At 51.2% G+C, this 12,302-nt stretch overlaps 1 protein-coding gene across 2 annotated transcripts in view; it reads left to right on the top strand.

Moving 5' to 3' along the window:
- Positions 1 to 12,302, top strand: part of BCL7A (BAF chromatin remodeling complex subunit BCL7A) — a 40,161-nt gene that overhangs the window by 19,429 nt on the left and 8,430 nt on the right. For both annotated transcript variants that reach the window (NM_020993.5, NM_001024808.3), the window contains exon 4: positions 2,574 to 2,741. In NM_020993.5, coding sequence (NP_066273.1) covers positions 2,574 to 2,741 — 168 coding nt within the window. The remainder of the gene's footprint in view (positions 1 to 2,573; positions 2,742 to 12,302) is intronic.

Raw genomic sequence — 12,302 nt, forward strand, 5'->3', positions numbered from 1 at the left:
CTGCCCAGTGCCTGGCATGGTGGCAGGTGCCCAGGTCTGTTGGGGTGTCTCTGTCTCTTTCTCATGTTTACAAAAGTGGCCATCGCCCCGGGTGCAGCATGGCCCCCAGAAAGGCTGCTTTGGTTTTGAAACCTCCACTTGGGTCTCTGCTGTTTAAAACGACTCTCCTAGGTTGGGCACAGTGGCTCAGGCCTATGATCTCAGTGCTTTGGGAGGCCAAGACAGGAGGATCACTTGAGCCCAGGGGTCCAAGACAGCCTGGGCAACATAGTGAGACCCCATCTCTACAAAAAACTTAAAAATTAGCCAGATGCAGTGGCACATGCCTGTGGCCCCAGCTACTCAGGAGGCAGAGGCAGGAGGATGGCTTGAGCCTAGGAGTTCGAGGCTGCAGTGAGCTATGATTGTGCTGCTGTACTCCAGCCTGGGCAACAGAGCAAGACCCTGTCTCTAAAAATAAAAAATACATAAATGGCTGGGTGTGGTGGCTTACTCCTGTAATCCCAGCACTTTGGGAGGTTGAAGCGGGCAGATCACCTGAGGTCAGGAGTTCAAGAGCAAGCCTGACCAACATGGCGAAACCCCGTCTCTACTAAAAAATAATAAAAACAAAAGTTAACTGGGCATGTTGGTGCATGCCTGTAATCCCAGCTACCTGGGAGGCTGAGGCATGAGAATCGCTTGAACCAGGAGGTGGAGATTATAGTGAGCCGAGATCGCGCCACCGCACTCCAGCCTGGGTGACAGACTCCATCTCAAAAAAATAAATAGAGTGACTCTGTGCCTGAGAAGGGGGTGCAGGACAAGGGGAGGTGCAGCCCGGGCCCCAGCTCTGCCCCCAGCCCAACTGTAAATGCCATTGCCCAATTACCCCTTCTCTTTCTTCTTTGTATTGTGAAGGGTTTTGTTGTCAAGAACAGTAGAGAGAGGAATACGATCCCCCTGTACACTCCACCTTGATTTTCATGAACACGGTGCCACATTTGTCTCATCTATTTTTTCAATGTGTTAGATTTTTGTAATTAAAATATAATTCACATATAAAAAATACACAGCTAGTGGCCGGGTGTGATGGCTCACACCTGTAATCCCAGCACTTTGGTAGGCTGAGGTGGGCAGATCACCTGAGGCCAAGAGTTCGAGACCAGGCTGGCCAACATGGAGAAACCCGTCTCTACTAAAAAATACAAAACTCAGCCAGGTATGGTGGCAGGCGCCTGTAATCTACTTGGGAGGCTGAGGCAGGAGTATTGCTTGAACCCAGGAGGTGGAGGTTGCAGCGAGCCCAGATCGCGCCATTGCACTCCAATTTGGGCGACAGAGCAAGACTCCATCTCAAAAAAAAAAAAAAAAAGTGTAAAAGTTCAGGGAGTCCTGACAGTGGCCGGCAGCCTGCACTGAAGTATTTTCTGGTAAATTTCCCTGCCTCATGACATTCAAGTCTGCACCTAAACGTCATAGCATGCATTGCTGAAAATATGACGTTTCTACATACCCACTGTCCCATGATCACTTCTAACTAAATTAACAACAGTTCCTTAATAGCTTTTAAAACCCAGACCATATTCAAATTCCCCAATTGTTCCAAAGTGTTACAGCTGGCACGTTTGAAACAGGATCCAAATCATTTCCATACATCATATTTAGTCGAGTCTCCTAGCTTTCTTTATTCTAAAGTCATCTCCCCTCCCCCAACTTTTTTTTTTTTTTAAATATGATACTGACTTTAAGGGAGTGGACCACGTGTCCCGTGGAATATGCCACCTCCCGCTGTCTCTCTCTCCCTTTTATTTCCTATCAAGTGGAACTCAGCTCCAGGCTGGATGCAGTCAGACAGAACGCCTTGGCAATCCCGCCTCACGGACCATGCCGTGTCTTCTGTATCGCTTCCCTGCCAGACACACAAGACGTCTGGTTTCTACACCCAGAATGAGGCCTCAAATGTCCCCCCAGGATTTTAAATATGTTAGGCCACCATCCCCAGCTGGCTGCCTCCAGACGCAGGGTACAGTTGGCTCAGTGTGGGGAAGGTCAGGCCAGTGCCGGAATTCTTTGCCTCTCTGGACACATGGGATGGCTGTGGTGCTTGGGTGGGTGGGTGGGTGGGGGTCAGGGGGCGGGAGTGAGCTCAGGGGTCCCAGGAGGAGGCGTATCCAGTATCCAGACCCCTACCACACGGCCGGGTGCAGTGGCTCAACGCCTGTAATCCCACCACTTTGGGAGGCCGAGGCAGGAGGATTACCTGAGGTCAGGAGTTCGAGACGGGTCTGGCCAACATGGTGAAACCCCATCTCTACTAAAAATACAAAATTAGCCAGGCGTGGTGGCAAGTACCTGTAATCCCAGCTACTCGGGAGGTGGAGGCAGTGAGCCAAGATTGCACCACGGTCCTCCAGCCTGGTTGACAGAGCGAGATCCGTCTCAAAAAAAAAAAAAACGGTAACCAGACCCCTCCCCGGGAGAGCTGCCATGGGGTTCCGGGCATTGAGGCACAGGGATGCTGAGCCCTCTGACCTACCCGTCCTTGGCAGCTGTGGGATTTCATCCTGTGGTTCTGTTCCCACCCCCTACAGACGATAACAGCAACCAGAGCTCCATCGCAGATGCCTCCCCCATCAAACAGGAGAACAGCAGCAACTCCAGCCCCGCTCCAGAGCCCAACTCGGCTGTGCCCAGCGACGGCACCGAGGCCAAGGTGGATGAGGCCCAGGCTGATGGGAAGGAGCACCCAGGAGCTGAAGGTATGTGGCCTCTGGAGGTGGGGCTCTGACGGCCTCCCTGTAACCGGCCTTCAGGCAGTCTGTGGCTAGGTGTTCCAGGAGGCCCTGTCATGTGCCAGCCCCAGCAAGGAGACAGTAAAGAGAGGTGACACCTGGAGTACATGGTCTCGTGGGGGAATTAAAAAAATCAGACAGGCCAGGTGCAGTGGCTCATGCCTGTAATCCCTGCACTTTAGGAGGCCAAGGTGTGAGGACTGCTTGAGCCTAGGAGTTCAAGACCAGCCTGGGCAACATAGCAAGACCTCATCTCTACCAAAAAAAAAAAAATAGCCAAGTGTGGTGGCACACACCTGTGATCCAGCTACTCAGGAGGCCGAGGTCGGAGGATCACTTGAGCACAGGAGGTCAAGACTACTACAGTGAGCCATGATCATGCCTCCGCACTCCAGCCTGGGTGACAATAAGACCCTGTCTCAATAATAAGTAAATAAATAAAAATCAAACAATTGGCCAGGCATGGTGGCTCACACCTATAATCCTAATGCTTTGGAAGGCTGAAGCAGGAGGATCACTTGAGGCCAAGAGTTTGAGACCAGCCTGGATAGCATAGCAAGACCCTGTCTCTACAAAAAAATGCTTTAAGATGAGCTGGGCATGGTGGCATGTGCCTGTGGTCCCAGCTACTCAAGAGGCTGAGGCGGGAGTATCCCTTGAGCTCAGGAGTTGGAGGCTGCAGTGAGCCGTGATCACACAACTGAACTCCAGCCTGGGTGACAGAGTGAGACCCTGGCTCAAAATATAATTATATTAATAAATTTTAAATGTATTTAAAAATCAGACAACCTAGTATTAGGAAGATAAGTGTGGCAGAGAATTATAAAGTAGGAAAGGGGTGGGGGGTCTTGCTGAATGACCTGGAGAGTTGCAGTTTTAAATGGGGTGGTCGGGGCGGCCTTTGAATAAGACAAGGCTCAAACTGGGCGACTGAGCAAGCCATGTGGGGATCTGGGAGGAGAGCAGTGTGGGCAGAGGTAAGAGTGAGTGAGGAGCTGGAAAATAAGATGGGCACCAGGCGCGGTGGCTCACGCCTGTAATCCCAGCACTTTGGGAGGCCGAGGCAGGCGGATCACTTGAGGTCAGGAGTTCAAGACCAGCCTGGCCAACACGGTGAAACCCTGTCTCTACTAAAAATACAAAAATTAGCAGAGTGTGGTGGCATGTGCCTGTAATTCCAGCTAGTCAGGAGGCTGAGGCAAGAGAATCACTTGAACCCAGGAGGCGGAGGTTGCAGTGAGCCGAAATTGTGCCATTGCACTCCAGTCTGGGCGATAGAGCAAGACTCTGTCTCAGAAAAATTTTAAAAAGTTAATAATAATACGGGGTCAGACAGCAGGCAGCGCCTCAGGTGTGGGGGGCTCGTAAGGCCACTGCCTGGCCTGGGTTTTCATGGTAAGACGGGAGCCACTGGGGGCTTGGGTGACATGATCTGAAGGATTAAGAACAGATGATGGGGTGATTGTGTGAGAGTGTGTGTGTGATTGTGTGAATGTGTACACAAATATTTGTGTGTGTTTATTTTGAGTCTCTACAGAAAAATTAAAAGAATGGCATAATACTGTCCTATATATCCACCTGCTGAACTTGGCAATTGTTGGCTTTTGGGTTTCTTTTGCTTTGTATTTTTTCTGGGACCATTTGAAAGTAAGTTATAGATCTCAGGACATTTCATCCCTAAACATGTCAGCACGTGTCTTTTAAAAATAAAGACATTCTGGGCTGGGCACAGTAGCTTATGCTTATAATCTCAGCACTTTGGGAGGCTGAGGCAGGAGGATCTTTTGAGCCCAGGAGTTCAAGACCACCCTAGGCAAGAAGACGAAACCCCGTCTCTACAAAAAATATAAAAATGAGCCCGGCATGGTGGCATGCGCCTGTAGTCCCAGGAGGATCGACTGAACCTGAGAGGTCGAGGCTGCAGTGAGCCATGATTGCACCACTCCAGCCTGGGTAACAGGGTGAGACCTTGCTAAAAAAAAAAAAAAAAAAAAAAAGGCATTCTCTTACAGATTTACAAATACCGTTACTGCATCTAAGAAAATGAGCAGCATTCCGGATGGTCTAACATGGAGGTATATTTTGAAGGTGAGGGGAGAGCCTGTGTTGGGCAGTACATAGGGGTGAGTGCGGACCTGAGGGCAACTCTGGGCACCTGGAGGGACAGCAGTGGCTGAGCGGGTCTGGGGAGGGCAGGCCAGGTCTGGAGCGCCTTGCACACCCATGAGGAGCTGGCGAGCATGGAATGTGGAATGGCAAATGTGACCAGCCTGCAGCTAGGGCCACCCCAGGGCTCAGGGCGTGTGTGTCCTGGGAGCAGCCAGTGTGGTTCTAGGAGAAAGGCTGTCCCCTGCTGCAGAGCTGATCCGCACCCCTGTGCAAGGAGGCTCTGGGCTGGCGCCAGGGCCCCAGTCATAGCTGCACTCTGCTTCCTGCACCCCAAGAACCCATAGGTCAGCAGGGGAGACAGACACTGGAACGAAGGACTCATTGGCAGAGATGCAGACAGACTCTATCCAGCCCGTGGTGTGAGAATCTGGCTATACAGAACCCTGCAGTATCATTTTTTAAATTTGAATGTGATGTCAAAATTTAAAAATTGAGCTTAAAACAGGATTGATTTCTAGCTTCTTTTGAAGAATCAGCTTTGACAATACCGGGCCTGCTCTTCCCTGGGGCAGTTACCAGCTGAAGCAGAAGAGACCCTTCCCTGTTGTCTCTAAACCAAGGCCAAAGGGCGCTTGCCTTGTGTTACCTCATGGCCACTGTTGTTTTTCTTATTGTAGATTTTAAAAGGAAAATTAAGATATTTCTTGGGTTTTTTTTTTTTTTTTCCAGACGGAGTCTTGCTCTGTCGCCCAGGCTGGAGTGCAATGACGTGATCTCGGCTCACTGCAACCTCCGCCTCCCAGGTTCAAGTGATTCTCTTGCCTCAGACTCGTGAGTAGCTGGGTTTACAGGCGTGCACCACCACGCCCGGCTAATTTTTGTATTTTTAGTAGAGATGGGGTTTCACCATGTTGGCCAGGCTGTTCTCAATCTCCTGACCTCGGGATCCACCCACCTCGGCCTCCTAAAGTGCTGGGATTACAGGTGTGAACCACCACGCCTGGACTATTTCTTGGTTTTTGTTTGTTTGTTTGAAATGGGGTCTTGGCCGGGCGCAGTGGCTCATGCCTGTAATCCCCGCACTTTGGGAGGCTGAGGCGGGCGGATCACAAGGTCAGGAGATTGAGACCATCCTGGCTAACATGGTGAAACCCCGTCTCTACTAAAAATACAAAAAAATTATCCGGGCATGGTATTGGGCGCCTGTAGTCCCGGCTACTCGGGAGGCTGAGGCAGGAGAATGGTGTGAACTCGGGAGGCGGAGCTTGTGTTGAGCCGAGATCGCACCACTGCACTCCAGCCTGGGCGACAGAGCGAGAATCCGTCTCAGAAAAAAAAAAAGAAAAAAAGAAATGGGATCTCACTGTTGCCCAGGCTGGAGTGCAGTGGTACAATCTCCGCTCACTGCAGCCTTGAACTGCTGGGCTCAGGTGATCCTCCTGCCTCAGTCTCCCAAGTAACTGGGACTACAGACATGCACCACCATGCCCTGGTAATGTTTATAGTTTTTTGTACAGACGGGGTGTTGCTATGTTGCCCAGGCTGGTCTTGAACTTCTGGGCTCCAGTGATCCTCCCACTTTGGCCTCCCAAAGTGCTGAGATTACAGATGTGAACCACCACACCCAGCCAAGATGTTTCTTGAAGCTATTTCTCTATCAGAAGTGGAGGTGGAAAAGTGGAAAAGAAAAAGGCTGGAGAAGGCTTTTTTTTTTTTTTTTTTTTTGAGACGGAGTTTCGCTCTTGTTGCCCAGGCTGGAGTGCAATGGTGCAACCTTGGTTCACCACAACCTCCACCTCCCGCGTTCAAGCGATTCTCCTGCCTCAGCCTCCAGAGTAGCTGGGATTACAGGCATGCACCCCCACACCCGGCTAACTTTTTATTTTTAGTAGCGACAGGGTTTCTCCATGTTGGTCAGGCTGGTCTTGAACTCCCAACCTCAGGTGATCCGCCCGCCTCGGCCTCCCAAAGTGCTGGGATTATAGGCGTGAGCCACTGCGCCTAGGCTGAGAAAGCTATTTTTTTTTTTTAAGAAAACTGGGAAAGTACATATTTGAAGAGAGTATTTCTTAACATTTTATTTGTGAAGCTTATCTATGTCTGAATCCAACAGCCCACTTGACTCATTTGTGGTATTGCCTGGCCCCTCATGGGGCTTTTGAGTTCATAGTCACCGCTGTGATGGACACAGTTAAAAAGGGATTGGAGGGGCCTCCAGGAATGCTTCTTGGAGGAGTTGCTGTCTTGACCTGGTATTAGAAAGGAGGCAGGCTGGCCGGGTGCAGTGGCTCATGGCTGTAATCCTAGCACTTTGGGAGGTCGAGGTGGGTGAATCGCTTGAGCTCAGGAGCTCGAGACCAGCCTGAGCAACGTGGTGAAACCCTGTCTTTACAAAAAATTTTAAAATTAGCTGGATGTGGTAGTACATGCCTGTGGTCCCAGCTACTTGGGAGGCTGAGGCGAAGATCACTTGAGCCCAGGAGTTTGAGACCAGCCTGGGCAACATGGTGAAATCCCATCTCTACAAAAAATACAAAAATTAGGCCGGGCACAGTGGGTCACACCTGTAATCCCAGCACTTTGGGAGGCTGAGGTGGGCAGATCACCTGAGGTCAGGAGTTCGAGACCAGCCTGCCCAGCATGGCAAAACACTGTTTCTACTAAAAATACAAAAAATTAGCTGGGTGTGGTGGCGAGCACCTGTAATCCCAGCTACTCGGGAAGCTGAGGCAGGAGAATTGCTTGAACCCAGGAGGCGGAGGTTTTAGTGAGCCGAGATCATGCCACTGCACTCCAGCCTGGGCAATGAGAGTGAAACGTGTAAAAAAAAAAAAAAAAAAATATATATATATATATATACATATACACACACACAAAAAAAAATACATAAAACTATAGGCATGTGCCTGTAGTCCCAGCTGCTCAGGATACTAAGGTAGGAAGATTGCTTGAGCCTGGGAGGTGGAGGTTGCAGTGAGCATGGTCCTCCCACTGCACTCCAGCCTGGATGACAGAGCATGACCCTGTCTTAAAAAAAAAAAAAAAAAGAGAAGAAAAAGAAGAAGAAAGTAAGAAAGTGTGGTGTGGCAGGACCACAGAGCTCAAAATAGGGAGTGTTGGGAAAGAAAGCTGGAAATAACAGGAATTTGGAAGGCCTCCCTCGCTCAATGGGATAAGCAATTGGGTCTTCAAATATGCTGGAGAGGCCGGGCGTGGTGGCTCATACCTGTATTCCCAGCACTTTGGGAGGCCGAGGCAGGTGGATCACCTGAGGTCAGGAGTTTGAGACCAGCCTGGCCAACATAGTGAAACCCCATCTCTACTAAAAATACAAAAAATAGCCCGGTGTGGTGGTGCATACTTGTAATGCCAGTTTCTTGGGAGGCTGAGACAGGAGACTAGCTTGAACCCAGGAGGCAGAGATTGCAGGTTCATGCCATTCTCCATATCAACTATAATACTTCCCGTTCAAGTCTGTGACTGTGCCATAATTTATGTGAACAGTCCCTTAGTGATGGTCACTTAGGTGTTCCCGTCTTTTGTTTTGCACATGCAGTCCTGCGGGGGGTCTGGTACCCTCATCTCTCTTCACTTTTGCCCAGGTGCAGGTGGCTCTGCAGGCTGCGTCCCTGGAAGTGGAACCGTTTAGTCAGAGGCTGCATATGCACTCAGAATGTCACAGGTTCTGCCTGGCTTTTCCCCCCGAGAAGTCATGGGTAGGATGACACCACTAGCACAGGGGTTCTCAGCCTCAGCACCCCTGGCATTTGGAGACGGATCATTCTTTTTGTTTTTCTGAGACGGAGTCTCGCTGTGTCACCCAGGGCGGAGTGCAGTGATGCAATCTGGGCTCATTGCAACCTCTCTGCCTCCCGGGTTCAACTGATTCTTCTGCCTCAGCCTCACGAGTAGCTGGGACTACAGGCGTGCATTTGCCATCACACCTGGTTCATTTTTGTATTTTTAGCAGAGACAGGGTTTCACCATGTTGGCCAGGCTGGTCTCAAACTCCTGACCTCAGGTGATCCACCCGCCTCAGCCTCCAAAGTGTTGGGATTACAGGCGTGAGCCACCACAACCAGTCTTGGATCCTTCTTTATTGTGGGGGGGGGGCCATCCTGTGCATTGTGGGACATTGAGCAGCATCTCTGGCCTCCACCAAAATGTTTCCAGTTGTTAACCAATGTCCCCAGGATAGGGGCAGGGGTAAAATCACCCCCTGCTGAGAGCCAGTGCCCTAGCGGCTTTGCCATAGCCTTCGCTGCGTACAGTATGTGTCGTCCCCTCTCATCTCCCCTCATGGCCCCCGTGATCCCAGCATGCCCACCAGGCTTCCCTGGAAGGTGGTTCTGCAGGTAGAAGGCAGAGGGGGTGAGACGGGGGCTGTGGTCACATACAGGGGGACACTCACCAGCTGTGTGGGCCTGGGCAGGAACATCACCTCCACACACCCTCCTACTTCCTTGTTTGTAAAATGGGATGACCAGCTACTCGGGAGGCTAAGGTGGGAGGATCACTTGAGCCTGGGAGGTGGAGGCTGCAGTGAGCCATGATCGTGCCACTGCACTCCAGCTTGGGCGACAGAGCGAGACCCTGTCTCAGCAGAAAATAAAATGGGATAAACAGAAGCTGCCTCCCTCGCCGGGAGCGAAGGGGGCGAGAACGCCAGCAAAGTGCTCGGCCTGGAGCTGGGGCTTAGGAGGAGGGTCTGGGAGCTGCAGGGTTGCCTTGTCCACCCTTCTGTCGGGGGAGCGATTGCGGGGTTCCCAAGGACGGACATGGGCTTCGTGTGCAGCCGCGTTCCTGCTTCTTTCCCATCCTGGTTTCTTTCTGGCCGTGGCCTTGTTTCTCCCACGTTGGGGGTGTGTGTCTCCTTTGCTCTAGAAGCCCGATTTGAGCTCCGCAGCAGGAATTATGTTTTGAGTTAGTGTGTCCAGTTGGTTGCTACTTTCTCGCCACTACCACCAGATGCTAAATTGGTGGGACGCAGGTGGGACCTCCACCAGGGTCCTCTCTGGCCACCCCAGGCCCCTGGGCCTGCACGGCTGCCCTGCACTGCTCAGCCAGGATCCACCTGCCTGCTGCCCGAGCTGCCCGTGGGAAGGGCACAAGGACAGACCCGTGTGGCCTTCCCAGGTGGGTGCGTGCTGTCTGCCGGGATGGGGCAGGTCGGCCACCAGCTGTTGACCTTGCTTTGAACTTGTTTACTGCTGTGTGAGTTCAGGGAATGACATAATTCCTGTCCAAGCTCCCTGGACTAAATTTAGGTCCCAGGAAAATAATTTTCCCTGGGTGAGTTCCAGCACCGCAGCGCCCAGAGAATCGGCTGCTGCCCTGAGCTCCTGAATGCTCTGTGGGTTCCAAGGCCAGTTCCCACCAAGCTCTAGGGCCTGGCTCTCAGGAGAGGCCTCTGCCGGGCACCTCTCTGCCCAGCACGGGTCAGCGTGAGTCTCTGGGTGACTGGCCACCTTCATGATTTCTAAGCCTACATCTGGGGCACCCACCTCCCCCACCACTCTGCAGAGCCTGCTGTGCCCGGCAGAAAAGGAGCTGTGGTCAGATCCAAAGCCACAGATGGGCAACTTTTCTAGTAAAAACTTTAAATATTTATGTTAAAGCAAACATTTATTATGAAATAGAGTATAACAATAACATGATTTCTCTCTCTCTCTTTTTTTTTTTTTTTTTTTTTTTTTGAGACAAAGTCTCACTCTGTCACCCAGGCTGGAGTGCAGTGGTGCGATTTTCCGCTCACTGCAACCTCCGCCTCCTGGGGTCAAGCGATTCTCCTGCCTCAGCCACCCGAGTAGCTGAGATTACAGGCACCTGCCATCACACCCAGCTACTTTTTATATTTTTAGTAGAGACGGGGTTTCACCATGTTGGCCAGGCTGGTCTTGAACTCTTGACCTCAAGTGATCTGCCTGCCTTGGTCTCCCAAAATGCTGGGATTACAGGTGTGAGCCACCACGCCTGGCCTGGCCTGGCCCCTCTCTTTTAAAAAAAAAAAATAAATAAACTAGAGATGAGATTTCACTATATTTCCCAGGCTGTTCACAAACTCCTGAGCTCAAGCTATCTTCCCACCTTGGCCTTCCAAAGTGTTGGGAGTACAGGTGTGAGCAACTACACCTGGGTGATTTTTCTTTTTATTGAGATGAAATTCACATAAAATTAACCAGGTTAAGTGAATAATTCACTGACAGTACACTCACAAGGTTGTGCAACCACCACTTCTATCTGGTTCCAAAACATTTTAATCACCCCAGAAAGAAACCTTGCACCCAGCCGCAATCATTCTCCACTTCTCCCTTCCCCAGCAACACTGGGTCCCTGCCCAGGGCAACCACGAAACTTTCTGTCTCCATGGGTTTGCCTATTCTGGACTTTTCATATAAATGGAATCATATACTCTGTGGCCTTTTGTGTCTGACTTCTCACTCAGCATAATGTTTTCTTTCTTTTTGTTTTTTTATTGTTTTGTTTTTTGTTTTGTTTTGTTTTGGAGACAGAGTCTCACTCTGTCACCCAGGCTGGAGTGCAGTGGCATGATCTTGTCTCACTGGAACCTCCGCCTCCTGGGTTTATGGGATTCTCCTGCCTCAGCCTCCCAAGTAGCTGGGATTACAGGCGCGCGACACCACGCCTGGCTTACTTTTGTATTTTTTTAGTCGGGGGGGGGGGGGGGTTTGCCATGTTGGCCAGGCTGGTCTCAAACTCCTGACCTCAGCCGATCCACCCACCTTAGCCTCCCAAAGTGCTGGGATTACAGGCGTGAGCCACCGTGCCTAGCCTGTTTTTGTTGTTGTTGTCGTTTTTTGAGACAGTCTTACTCTGTCGCCCAGGCTGGAGTGCCGTGGCATGATCTCGGCTCCCAATCCAGGAGGTGGTCCTGGGTTCAAACGATTCTCCTGCCTCAGCCTCCGAGTAACTGGGATTACAGGCGTGCACCACCATGCCTGGCTAATTTTTGTATTTTTAGTAGAGACGGGGTTTCACCATGTTGGCCAGGCTGGTCTTGAACTCCTGACTTCAAGTGATCCGCCTGCCTTGGCCTCCCAAAGTGGTGGGATTATAGGCGTGAGCCGCCGCGCCCGGCCAGGGCTCCTAGTCTGAGAAGTAAGTGTCAACCCTGCTCAGACTCCCTGGGAAGGAGGGTCTTGCTGTCCCGTTCCCCCGCCCTCTGTGTCCCGGCCTGTCCCAGGCCCTGCACTGTCTCCTTCTTCTTCCCATCTTGCCTGCTTGCTTTTAAACTTAAGCATGGGTTATTTTCCCCTTTGTTATTACTCTGCCTCAGAAACCCCAGCAGGGAAGTCTTGGTCGCACAGGCATTCTCTAGGATTCGTTTCGTGTGTGCTTTTTAACATCAGGGTACCATGGTGTCCGGGCCTCGGGTAGGATTTTTGCTGCCCCTTCACG

This window comes from Homo sapiens, chromosome 12, assembly GCF_000001405.40.
Source record: "Homo sapiens chromosome 12, GRCh38.p14 Primary Assembly".
Taxonomy (NCBI): Eukaryota; Metazoa; Chordata; class Mammalia; order Primates; family Hominidae; genus Homo; species Homo sapiens.